The 13,876-nt window shown below is 41.9% G+C and overlaps 1 protein-coding gene and 1 long non-coding RNA gene across 3 annotated transcripts in view; one reads left to right on the forward strand and one right to left on the reverse strand.

Moving 5' to 3' along the window:
- COL4A1 (collagen type IV alpha 1 chain) overlaps nucleotides 1–13,876 on the reverse strand; it is a 158,195-nt gene that overhangs the window by 97,396 nt on the left and 46,923 nt on the right. The gene's annotated exons all lie outside the window — the stretch shown is intronic.
- On the forward strand, nucleotides 4,084–10,326 carry LOC124903212 (uncharacterized). Its single transcript, XR_007063872.1, has 3 exons — nucleotides 4,084–4,265; nucleotides 5,091–5,227; nucleotides 9,950–10,326. It is a non-coding gene; the product is annotated as an uncharacterized LOC124903212 (long non-coding RNA).

Consider the following 13,876-nt stretch of genomic DNA (forward strand, 5'->3'; position numbering starts at 1 on the left):
ACAAAGGATGACCTGAGTACCCCCTTCACTCAGGTGTAATGTATAAGCTTCAAATGGTGAATTAAAATAAAAGTCAGGTAATGCAAGTCTTAATTCACTGTTGTAAATTACTGTGTTTAAAAGGGGTACATAAATAATGCAGGTTACCCAGGTTCACAATTTCATTGGTGACCTGACATGTGAAAAGCTATGTCACCATTTCATCATTTCCTGAGGAAATACACCTTGCATCTGGACTCCCAGAAAAATCTAAAGCTATATGCAGACTGGTGGACTCCACCGGCTCCCTGCTGGCTGCATATCTGAGGGCCTTTATGAGGGCTCTGCATTCTCCCGGTGTCTGGATGACCCTACAGATAAGCTCCCATACCATCTGTTTCAGATTCTAGAATGGGAAGAACTGGTACATTCTGTGCGGTACTCATCCTCTTCCTGGTTTTCCCCTCATTGGTGTTCTAGGGTCAATGAGTTCCAAGTTCCTGGAGCAATGCCTGTGTTGTGCTCCTGTGAGGCACACACTTAACCCGAGTGGTCATGAGGATGAAAGTGGGTCACGAAGGCAGTCTCCACTTGGAAGACGGGGAATATGGCTGGGAGTTCTCAAAGGAAAGAAAGGCGGGGGTCTCGGTCTCTCTTATAAAAGCAGACCAGCCATGGACAACAGCAACACAGGTACCCCAGACCAATGTGGAAAAAGAGGACCCTAGAAAGCTCTTGGGGTTGGGGGTGAATTTATTATTTATACTCCTAAAACTGTAGACAAACTTAATGAAAACCAAGTCAGTTTTGAAAGTCCTTTTAGCCTCTTCCCCATAGACCATGTGGCCTACAGAGTATAATAAGTTGTCTCCAAATGGAAGCCAAACTGACTTAACTGTGTTTGAAACAGAAAAGAAAATAATAATAATAGTCCCCAGTGGACTCTGTCAGACACACACACGCACACATAACTTCAATAGCAGAGATCAGCTTTAAACGAAAACAAAAAATACAATATGAAAGGAATGCAAAAGGTACTACAAAGTAATCCCTAAACCAAATATCTTTTATATTCTCTAAAAGTCTCTTAAACTTTTCAGGATATGTTAAAATAATTAATACTGTGAAACTTTTCTTTCATGCTCCAATTAAGATATTCAGAGATCCACCATCAGTATTCACGTTATAAAGTATATTAAGTTCTTAAAATACACAAAGATTTTACAATACACAGTACGAGTGCCAAAGAAGAAAGGGGAGGAAGAGAAGTCAATGGTTTTAATAAGAAATAAAGCCTATTTCTGGTTTTCTCGCATCTACAGACCAAGAGGGCGCTCTTCTCAAGATTACAGTGAATTCCATTCCAGAGGATGCAAAAAGAGGAAAGCTCACTCATTCTGTTTACAGAATGCCTTTTTAACTGAACCGAAGAATACCAGCTGCTATGCTACTCGTGTGTGTGTGTGTGTGTGTGTGTGTGTGTGTGTGTGTGTGTGTGGCAGAGAGAGAGGGAGGGAGGGAGGGAGGGGAGAAGGGTGCAGTGTTATACAGTTTAACTGGGACATGTCTTCTGATGAAGGCATATTTGGAATGAGTTAAACAGGATGAGGTCCTCAATTTTCTGATTTTTTTTCCTGCTTTTGATGGAAGATAGACCTTTAACATCGCAGCTTTCACAATTTTTATGTGTTTCACATCCCACCAAATAGGGACATGTGGAGATCTGCCAAGTCTAAACAGCTTATCTTTCAAATTCTTTCTCGCATTCCCTATGCTGTGCAAAAATGTCAAAATACTTTCCTGGTGATACTGCCGTCGAGGGCTCTTCCTGGTTGCAGCACTTCCTCGGGGAGTCTTTTAAATAATTCCCTACCCAACTAAATAAGCGTATGGAGGCAAGAGACTGTATCTTAGGGCTACTTGGGCAGAATTAAGAGTACGCAGCAAGCGCGGGCCCCACACGCTCCCGGCGGGATTGCGAGCGGGACATTCCCAACCCTCTGGAAGGCGCTCAGCCGCCTCCGCTGTAGCTGGGCCCTGGCCCCTGGCCCCGGCTCCTTCCCCCAAATTCCACTCCCAGGGATAAGCCCCACGGCCACACGGCAGGGGCGCACTGGTACGTTGCTCCAACTGAGGCAAGTTGGACAAAACCCCATTGACCTTCATCACGTCCTGCTGGGGTCTCGCTCTGTGGCGCAGGCTGGAGTGCACTGGCGCGACGTCGGCTCACCGCAACCTCTGCCATCTGGATTCAAGCGATTCTCCTGCCTCAGCCTCCCGAGTGGCTGGGACTACAGGCACGGGCCACCACGCCAGGATAATTTTTTTGTATTTTTAGTAGAGATGGGATTTCGCCATGTTGGCCAGGCTGGTTCGAACTCCTGGCCTCAAGTGATCCACACGCCTCAGCCTCCCAAAACGCTGGGATTACAGGTGTGAGCCACCGCACCCGGCCTCAATTCTATTATTTTAAATTCCACTTCATTCACACACACAAAATGCTGGTGTGGTGAATAAAAGATAACCACACACAGATGCAGCAGGCACTCACACTTTTTTCGGATAGCGAAACCTCAAAGACTGCACGTGGAGAATGGACTTTCTAGCTTCTGTCCTGTTTGCCGCTGTGCTGCTTGTGTCACGCTTGTTTTAACCGCGGTGGCTGTGAGGCTCTGCAAAATGGCTCTCCCCAGCTCCATGGACCCCCAGGGCCCAAGAATGCCCTAAAAAAGAATCTTAAAACTTCTCCAGAGAGAGCACACTCTGTATGATCCCATCATATGAAATTCAAGAACGGAGGCATCTGTCTATGGGGAAAAGAAGTCAGAATTGTGATGACCTTCTGCGGGGGTGTGGCAAAGGTAGGGACAAGGGAGGTTTCTGGGGTGCAGGAAACATTCTTTGCTTGTTGCGGGCGGTGACTACACGGGTGTATACGTCGGTAAAAACTCATCGAGCTGTGCACTTGTGATGTTTGCACTTTGTTGTATTTCAATAAAATTCGAGAAAAAGGGACGTGCTTAAGCCTGTTCACAGCAGCACTATCCACAATCGCCCCAGCTGGAAACAGTTCAAGGGACTGAGAAACGATGGGGTATATTCACGGAAGGGAGTCCCCGGCCACACCAGGGCAGGCCAGCTACAGCACCCGCAGCAAGCTGAAGCAGGCACAAAAGAAGACAAACTGGGTGACTCCATTCCTGTAAAAGTCAAAGCCGAACAAGATGACGTTGGATCCTGGTTACTCGTGAGGGCTACTGACTAGAAGAGGACTCCAGGGACTTCGTGCCTTCTGGTAATGTTCTGGTCCGTAGTCTGGGTTCACTGCTATGTTCACTTTGGGGAAAATGCACTGAGCTGTACCCTTCGCCTTTGATATGTTTCTGTAAGTTGATAAACTTCAATAAAATTAGCTCCCCAAAAAAGTGTCCATGGCATTTAAAAATTACTTAAAAAACAGTAAAATATAGGCCAAATGTTGTAGTACAAATAATGATTTCTTAAAAGCTTACATTTGCATAACATTTTTCAACTTCCAAAAATATACTTAGTATTGTGGTTTTAAAGGTAAAATTAACTTCTCTCCCTTATTCTCACAGAACTCAAAATCATTGTGCTTTCATCTGCATTTGTTTTATTATCATCATCATTTGTTTTGACTAATGTAAGATAGATGTGATCCCAAAGATGTGAAAATAATTATTCATCATTAACTCCCCTGAAAGGACAACTTAGGTAAATAAAATAATATTTCTGTTCCATTTAATAATGGAAGACATAGAAACAAAACAGTCCCTACTACTGTTTAGAGTTACACAATATTTCTGCCCTAATTTGAAAACAACAAGAGTTGATACATTCTTGGCAAAAAAAAAAAAAAGCACAAAAAATGTGAGAAACAGTGAATTTCTAATATGTAACATGTCTCTCTCTGTGCTGTAGTATGACTAAGATTTGTACATGTGAGGTACATGCTCTATTCTGCTTCTCAATTAGAGACTGAGTTTGCAGGGCAGAAAGGCTCCCAAGAAACCACACGCCTTGAGGAAATGAGGGTGTTTTCTTGGCTTCTCTTAGGAACAACATGTGACTAAAGTTCTGGTCTCATTTTCCCTGTCATATAATTTTGTTGACTCATGTTTCACTTCTTTTCTTCCCTTTTTCCCACTAAACGGGGGTGGACATTAAATGTTCCTGCTTGGGGAATAGGATGGCCTGGAGGGAATGACCATGAAGACCGGCACTTCACCTCCAGGTCATTGGTCTTTGTCCAGCTGCAAGCAGATGTGAGTATGATTAGTTGCCATGGGTCAGTGGTTCCTTGGATGGCTGTGTGTGAAATGAGTTGGTGGGCTTCGTGTGTGTCTGCTGGGACCCATGGGTGGAAACACTGTTGGGAGGCATGACCTGGGGCGAGCCTTCCCGTGCTTGTGAGTCACTGGCCTGACGCACTAGCACAGTGGGGCAAGGCCAGTGCGTCCCCAGCATCCGGGTCCCACGGAGCCCCTCCCAAACCAAGTGTCAGCTCCAGGCAAATATGTAGACTTGAGAGACATTTCGTTCTCTCAATGAAACTCAAACTCCCTAATTCCAGAGAAGGAATCTCCCACCCATAGAGTTGTCACTCTTAGCTACTCTTCCCGGTTCCCCGGATTCTTTTCCCACCAGCCCTGCTCCCATCCTTTGTAACTTTCATCTTTAACCCCTTCATTCCACCAGTGCCTATTTTACAGGCACCCTTTGAAGAACAGCAAATTTTACCCAGACAGGCACGAAAAAAGACGTTGGACTATTTCTTCCAGCTTTGGAGAACTGTGCGGCTCCCGGCTGTGCTGAAGGGCAGGGAGTTCTCCCAGCTATTCCCGGTTTTCATCTTCCATGGCCTACTCCTTCCACACCCTGGTGCCACCCTGGCCTGCACCGGCCATGTGGGCTTCTGCCTTCACTTTCAACATCTGACTCCCAAGCCCAGCCCACGCAAGACAGCCCCAAGGCCCCATGCCCAAGACTAGGGTGAGTGGGTGGGGCAGGGGAAGCACCAGCAGGCCTGTGCCAGGCACTCCTTCACAGCTCCTGGCAGTGCCCAGTCATACTTATCTTTTTCTTAACAGGTGGTGAGATTCACTTCCCATCTACTGCACGCCTGCATGGGCCAGGCACCCCCCAGTGCTAAGAATACAGAGCTGAGTGTGTGAGCAAGCTGGATAAGGAAAGGTGAAATTACAATAAAACGTGGGCTGCAAGGGAGGTGAGCAGAGACTCACGGGCATGCCAGAGGGGGACTCGGGGACCCCCAAGGTAGGGCACACTTCAGCTGAGTTGCGAAAAGTCAGGGCTGTTCACCTAGGAAGAACCCAGGATGAGGGAAAGACGGCGAGAACAGGCTGCCAGACAGGCACAGGTGCAAGCCGGTACAGAATTAAGACAGCACATTCCTGAGGCAGACAGGAGTTTAACTTTTCAGATCTTGGCCGCACAGCCTGAGAGCATAAAGACCTTGAACCCACACCTGACTTACAGCAGAGGCACAGTCTTCTCCGCCTTAATTCTCCTTAGTCCCAGTAACACTGACTCTGATAAAGGAGTCTATAATTGCTGTCTGAAAAGTGATAGCACATTTACGGGAAGACTTACAGAAATTCCAACAACTGGGCATAAGTGTCTTCTTTATTAATTCCTAATCATAAATAAATTACTTTTTTTTGAGGTAGAGTCTCGCTCTGTTGCCCAGGCTGGAGTGCTGTGGCGCGATCTCAACTCACTGCAACCTCCCTCTCCCGGGTTCAGGCAATTCTCCTGTCTCAGCCTCCCAAGTAGCTGGGATTACAGGTGCCTGCCACCATGCCTGGCTGATTTTTCTATTTTTAGTAGAGACGTGGTTTCACCATGTTGGCCAGGCTGGTCTCGAACTCCTGACCTCAGGTGAACCACCCACCTCAGCCTCCCGAAGCACTGGGATTAGAGGTGTGAGCCACCACTCCCAGCCAAATAAATTACATTTTAATCTATTCCATCTACAATCTCCAAATTTATAATAACATTTAATTTTAAAGCATGTTTCTACACATAGTTATATGTGTATATGTATTATATATGTATAATTATACGTATATGTATTATATACATATAATTATATGTATTATATATACGTATAATTATACGTATATATGTATTATATATACGTATAATTATACGTATATATGTATTATATATACGTATAATTATACGTATATATGTATTATATACGTATAATTATACGTATATATGTATTATATATGTATAATTGTATATATTATATATACTTATATACAAAATGTATATATGTATATATACATATAATATGTATATATACATATAATTATATGTATATATGTATTATACATATAATTATAAGTATGTATGTATTATACATATAATTATATGTATGTATCATATAAACATATAATTATAAGTATGTATTACATATACAGATAACTATAAGTACGTATGTATTACATATACAGATAACTATAAGTACGTATGTATTACATATACAGATAACTATAAGTACGTATGTATTACATATACAGATAACTATAAGTACGTATGTATTACATATACAGATAACTATAAGTACGTATGTATTACATATACAGATAACTATAAGTACGTATGTATTACATATACAGATAACTATAAGTACGTATGTATTACATATACATATAACTATAAGTACGTATGTATTACATATACATATAACTATAAGTACGTATGTATTACATATACATATAACTATATGTACGTATGTATTATATATACATATAACTATATGTACGTATTATATATACATATAACTATATGTACGTATGTATTATATATACATATAACTATATGTATGTATGTATTATATATACATATAATTAGGTATATATACATATAATTAGGTATATATACATATAATTATATGTATTACATATACATATAATTATATGTATTACATATACATATAATTATATGTATTACATATACATATAATTATATGTATTACATATACATATAATTATATGTATTACATATACATATAATTATATGTATTACATATACATATAATTATATGTATTACATATACATATAATTATATGTATTACATATACATATAATTATATGTATTATATATACATATAATTATACGTATTACATATACATATAATTATAAGTATATATGTATTACATATACATATAATTATACGTATGTATGTATTACATATGCATATAATTATACGTATGTATGTATTACATATACTTATAATTATATATGTATGTATGTATTACATATACGTATAATTATATGTGTATGTATGTATTACATATACATATAATTATACGTATGTATTACATATACGTATAATTATACGTATGTATGTATTACATATACATATAATTATACGTATGTATGTATTATATATACGTATAATTATACGTATATATGTATAATTATACGTATGTATGTATTATATATACGTATAATTATACGTATATATGTATGTGTGTGTGTATATATATAAAGTATAATGTGCTGTCTTCATGCCCATCAACATGATTAATTGGAGTAGGAGAAGGTTTGTAAAAGAAATGCGCTACAGGTTGAATATTCCTAACCCCAAAATCCAAAATACAAAATGCTCCAAAATATAAAACTTTTTGAGCGCCAACATGATACCACACATGGAAAACTCCATGCCCTCTGACCCCACCCACAACCTTTACTGCACTCAGCCTTCAGAAGAACTCCCAACTGGGTCTAGGTTTGAAACCAGAGGATCACTTAGCTCCTAACAGAGGATCACTTAGCTCCTATCAGAGGATGACTTAGCCAACAGCTGCTGTCTATCCCTCTGTGGTCCAGGAAGTGCACTGCATATTGTCACATTAAGCGAGAAATTCCAAACAAATGGTCTAGCTTAATGCCATGATCCATAGGTTTACTGGACGGCTAGCAAGAGGGAGTATGCAGATAGTTTTCCCATCAACAGAACTCTCTTTGAAGCATATCATGAGGGCTCCGTTTGCCTCTGGGAAGTGATACACAGCACAGAAGCGGGAGGGTGGCTTTGCTCTGAGGAAGACACAGCAGCGCCCATGTTCTATTTATCCCACTGCGTTCCACCAGCTGACCCTTTAAGGAGCCCTACAGTTTGTAACATACTTTAAAAGGAAACATGAAAAGCCTAAGTGACTAGTGAAATATTTCAAGCATGACGGACATGCAACTCAAAAACAGAGTTTAGTAAAACCAGTGGTGGCAGTAGGACCACTTTTTTTCCTTAAACAATTAAATATTTTAAATCATTGCTGATTTTGTGCTCATCTTCTCCCCCAGAATAGCGACATCACTAATCTCTTCCAGTGGAGATTTGGAATGTAACCCAAATTATATGACCTCCTGCCATTCTCTGTGTGTCCCCATCCTAAAAAGATAAATTCCTCTTCTAAAAAGCAGACTTAGGTAAGCCCTCCTTTTCCACAGAACTGGGGAATATGCAACTGAACAGGCCTGCTACTCTTACTCACTTGGTAGCAATTTAATGAGCACTTACTATGTGCTTGCCACTGTACTTGCAATCTGGAGGGTGAAGGATGACTTAGACATGAGCTGTGTTCTCAAGGAGCTTGCTGGTTAAGAGGAGAGAAGCTGTGGCCCCTACCACGCTAAGCCCATTACAAGGAAGGTGGCTGGACAAGCCAGCAGGAGCACACTTCCCGCGGAGGAGGTCTGTGTGCCAGCAGAACAGCCCAGGTGTCGGCTTCAGCCCTGCACAGGGCTGCCTGAAGGCCAGAGTGCTGCAAGGACACTGGTGGGGCAGCTGCCTGTGCCCACAAAAGGCCAAGTGTTTTCCACCTCATTTTCTAGCAGGCCTTGGGTAGGGTCTAAAAGTTTAGAGATGAGGGAGACCTATCCCATTCGCTGGATTTTGGTGGCATTCATCTGTGAGACTTGTGTCAAGTGTATTAGCATGAGGAGGGAAGGGAAATGAGGAGACTTGCAAGGACGTCCTTGCCCTTGGGGATGGGAGCTAGAGCAGGGCAGCCGCAAGAAGGCGGGAGAAGAGTGCAAGGGAGGGAGGCAGGTCATGGCTCAAGGACCAATTCAGTGTCATGAGGGGAAGACAGGAGGTTTCCCAATGAAAGAACGGTGATTCCACCAGGAACAGGGGGAAAGGAGGGAAAGGAAGGGAAGGGGGCAGGCAGGAAGGGAGGGGGCAGGCAGGCAGGAAGGGAAGGGGGCAGGCAGGAAGGGAGGGGGCAGGCAGGCAGGAAGGGAAGGGGGCAGGCAGGAAGGGAGGGGGCAGGCAGGCAGGAAGGGAAGGGGGAAGGCAGGAAGGGAGGGGGAAGGGGGAAGGCAGGAAGGGAGGGGGAAGGCAGGAAGGGAAGGGGGAAGGCAGGAAGGGAAGGGGGAAGGCAGGAAGGGAAGGGGGAAGGCAGGAAGGGAAGGGGGAAGGCAGGAAGGGAAGGGGGAAGGCAGGAAGGGAGGGGGAAGGCAGGAAGGGAGGGGGAAGGCAGGAAGGGAGGGGGAAGGCAGGAAGGGAGGGGGAAGGCAGGAAGGGAGGGGGAAGGAGGCAGAGGAAAGAAAAGACTGTGACTGACCTTATCTTATGACAGGAGAAGGTAATAGGTCTCATTTTCTTAGCTGGTAATTCTACTGTCAATTAGACAAATTTTATGTGAAGATTTTTATTCTACAAATCACGCTGTATATCTCATGTTCTTCTTATCTATTAAATCATACCTAACTGTTTTAAAATCTTGCCTAACATTTCAGCCTCCTCCCCATGAAATCTCCGGCTAGAGACAAGACACCTATATAATGTTTAAGATGTTCAAGAGTTGTCCTGGGCCCCAAGCGACAGGGTGAATAGGGCGTGGTTTCTACCTTCGGGCATATTCTAGTCCGGGGGGAAAAACACATCAAAAAAACTAAATGACTCCACAGGATGATTGCAACAAACCTACAAGATGCTGGAGAAGGAAAAATGGTTTTGGACGAGGATGATACTCGGGAGGAAGAGGTGAAGACAGCAGAGGAGGATGGCCACTTGCTGAGTGGTGCTGCCCTGTCAGGAACCAGCAGGCACTGTGAACGTGCATCCTCGAGGGAGCAGGTGAACTGGACCTCAGAGCCCAGAACCACAGGGAGGATGTCAGTGCCCGGGAAAGCAAAGGAGGAAATTCCAGAAAGAGAAAGCAAGGGAACCAAATATGGAAATGAGAACGTGCACAGGGAGTTTGAAGAACATTGGGAAGTTTAAAGAGGGTTGAAGCCCTGGTGTATTTACAGGTGCAACTGGAAATGCGGAGGTCGGCCATGGGGTGAGGGGTTTGCATCCACTTTAACCCAGCTACACTCTATTCATGCCCCAGACCGGCGGCGGGGGGGTCTATCCGATACTTTCAGCAACAAGGATAGCAAATAGATATTCTTTCCTGTGGGATAGGATCTAACCACGCACTCACTATGCATTCAACAAATGCATTCTATTGATTAATTTAATATTACTTCCATTTCACAGAGGGACTATTAAATAGTCTCTATGATAGCAATCATAGCTGTTCATCTCTTTTGTCAGACACCAGACATGTCTTTAAAAAAATCTTCATGTTTAGACTAATCCCAGCCAGCCAGAATGAAACTAAAGTGTAGTTTTCATAACTGCACTCACTTGCAAAGCCACTTTTCAAAAATAAATGGAAGAATTTATACTACTTATAAAAGATAGATTCTGAAATGCTGCTGCACAGTTCCCAAAACCCAAAGAAATCACTCTTGAAAACATCACCTTCTAAGGATAATATTATCTGATTTGTATCTTTAAAACCAGGTTTGAAAACTCAAACATAATGTAAATAGAAACTGCACATAACAAACCCTACAGAATAACGAACATGTGGAAGAGATCCTGCGGCAAACCTTCTCTGCATTTGACAAGTGGTCAGAGATCCATCTGGGAGACTTCCATGCGACATCCTTCCAAGGCCATGAGCAAATGTGAGCACAACAGCAACTAAAACTCTCCATAAGAATATGGAAGATAACGGCTGGTAAACCAAAAATGCTACTCTGCAAACCGTAAGTGCTACTTCCAAAGGACCTACCTAAAAGCACAAGTACATTTGTGGTTAAAGAAGAAAAACTGAGGTATACCACAGAGAAAAGTTGAACTTTTGCTGGTCAAAGCCATGGTCTCTCAATGACATACACTGGTATTTGAACAGTGGCAGAGGGTGCCAAGAGCTATCTCTCCAGGACCCTGTGAGACACTGTGGTTAACTGTACAAGGTCAGTGCATGTTGAGGCCTCCTTTCCAAACCACACTTCCCCACTATAACCCTGAGAGGGGAGTCTCACTCTTAAGACATGAAAAAAGAGAATACATAAATAGAGTTTACCAGCAACTCTTGAAGCCAAATGGTCTAATTAATTGACAAGCGTAATGCTATGTAGCTATTGAAATGTGCTACAACTTCAGGAACTCTTGCCTTTTCCAAAGGAACCTAAGAAGAATATTTAGCAGCCTTAAACCATTCATAATTTATTATAAAAATAAATAAGAAATACATAAAATATGGAAAATATAATTCATTCCATGTCCCTGGTCCTTCCATTTGAATGAGTAATACACAAATAGCCCTCGTTTCTTTCTTTTCTCACTGACATTCATTGAATACTTATTTTCCCATTGCCTACAGTGCATACAATACAACAAGGCTATGAGATTTGTAGAAATAGAAATATGGTTCCTAAAGACAAAGAACTTGTATTAAGCATGTTAACATCCAGAAAATTCTAGAAAACCTTTTGCTACCACATACTGTGAAGCTTAAATGAGCAGAAGTCACGTGGAGCCAAAGTGAACCGGGCAGCACTCAAGAAAATAAAATTTAAGCCGGCGCAGTGGCTCATGCCTGTAATCCCAGCACTTTGGGAGGCCAAGGCGGGCAGATCGCATGAGCTCAGGAGTTCGAGACCAGCCTGGCCAATATGGTAAAATCCCATCTCTACTAAAAAAATACAAAAATTAGCCAGGCGTGGTGGCGCACGCCTGTAGTCCCAGATACTCGGGCGGCTAAGGCAGGAGAATCGCTTGAACCCAGGAGCCAGAGGTTGCAGTGAGCCAAGATCATGCCACTGCACACCAGCCTGGGTGACAGAGTGAGACTTCATCTCAAAAAAAAAGAAAAGAAAATTTAAATGGTAATAAATATTTTGAATTTGAAAATGTATTTCCATCTATTTACACCAACTATGTGCCTCTTTATTAAAAAATAGTCAATCTGAAATTGCCAGGTGATATAAATGATAATTTAATAAATAAGGTAATAAACAATGTTAACTTTTTGGTTGTTGCTTTGACTTCAATTTCGGTTTAACTAGAGCTCTTGGTAGTCTTACTATGCAAAGAAGCTGATACACTGTAGTTCCCACAATATATATATTTTAAATCCTTAAATCATTAAATATCTTCAAAAAATAAGTTCAGCATAGTTTTAATATTAGATGTCTTTCATTGCATTTCATAGCATTAAAAGTGGAAAATACATGTATGATAGATATATGCAGCCTTGATCTGTCACCAAAATATTTATTTAACCTGAGGATCTCATTCACCGGCGATCCTGAGCAACCTATGGGATCCTTTGCGGATGCAAAGACTTCAGATGACACGGGGCCGCCCGGTCCCTGGAGTGAGGCCCTTGGCTTCCAAAGCCATTTCTGACGCGTGCGCCCTTTGCTCAGTTTTCAGAACCACACTCAATGGTTTTTTCCATCTTGTTAATTTGCACATTTTACCTTTTTAAGGCAATACTCTCCAGACCTTGTTTTCTTTTCAAAAAGTCACCATTTCCTCCTCTTCCGTCTAGCCTTAATTGTTTTATTTTTATTTTTTAGCTCATTGACCCTAATTAGGTGGTTCTAACTCACTCAGTCCAGTGACTAATTGCATGATTCACTCTCCAGTCAGGACATATTTATTCTAAACTTTGTGCAAATCTGAAACAAACTGAAAGTATTTCATTAACAATACTACTTAAAAAAAATTTTTAAGCGTGTCTACAAAATCTAGGTGGAGCAAAACACAAGATGGGAAATCTTATTTTAGCCTAAGGAGGTGAAGGAATCAACATTGTCCATCTTTCCTCTTCTGTTGCACTCTGCTGACTAGACAGGAAACTGGCTTAACATGAATTTTCCTTTTCAAAAACCAGAGCGAATCTTTACTGGAACAATTCACTATGCTGAGCTTATTGTCCAGTTTTTGGACTTTCTGGTTCATAAAAACAAGTGAAACTAAAAGTGTATTTTTAAGAACGTGTTTGCAACATGGTAAAATATTCTAATTTAAAATAGAAATAGGTCAGTCAACCTAATTTAATTATATTAATTTAATGGTCACAGAAATCAGACCAAGAAAGGAAGTGGGAGCTAAGTGCTGCCTTCTCCTCCGGGCTCTGCATCTGTTCTTGTGCAATAGTTGAATCTGTAGGTGGACTAGTCGGCTGACATGCATGGCATAGTAGGGCCACAGCCAAAATATCAGCTTCCCAGACGCTCTTCCTTCTTTACGTAATGGATGTAAAGCTGCATCCCCGTTACTCTGAAGGCTGCTGTACATGGATCATGCTACCAGGCAACCTAATCTTACATCTCTCTCATTCACTCTGAAGTCAGGAGCCATTCTTCTATCTCGTGCCATCTCTGCTCCGTGCCACCTGTATTAGTCTGTTCTCACACTGCTAATAAAGACATACCCAAGACTGGGTAATTTATAAAGAAAAAAGGTTTAATGAACTCACAGTTCCACATGGCTGGGGAGACCTCATAATCATGGCAGAAGACAAAGGAAGAGCAAAGCCACATCTT

This window comes from Homo sapiens, chromosome 13 (genome assembly GCF_000001405.40).
Source record: "Homo sapiens chromosome 13, GRCh38.p14 Primary Assembly".
In the NCBI taxonomy this organism is placed as follows: domain Eukaryota; kingdom Metazoa; phylum Chordata; class Mammalia; order Primates; family Hominidae; genus Homo; species Homo sapiens.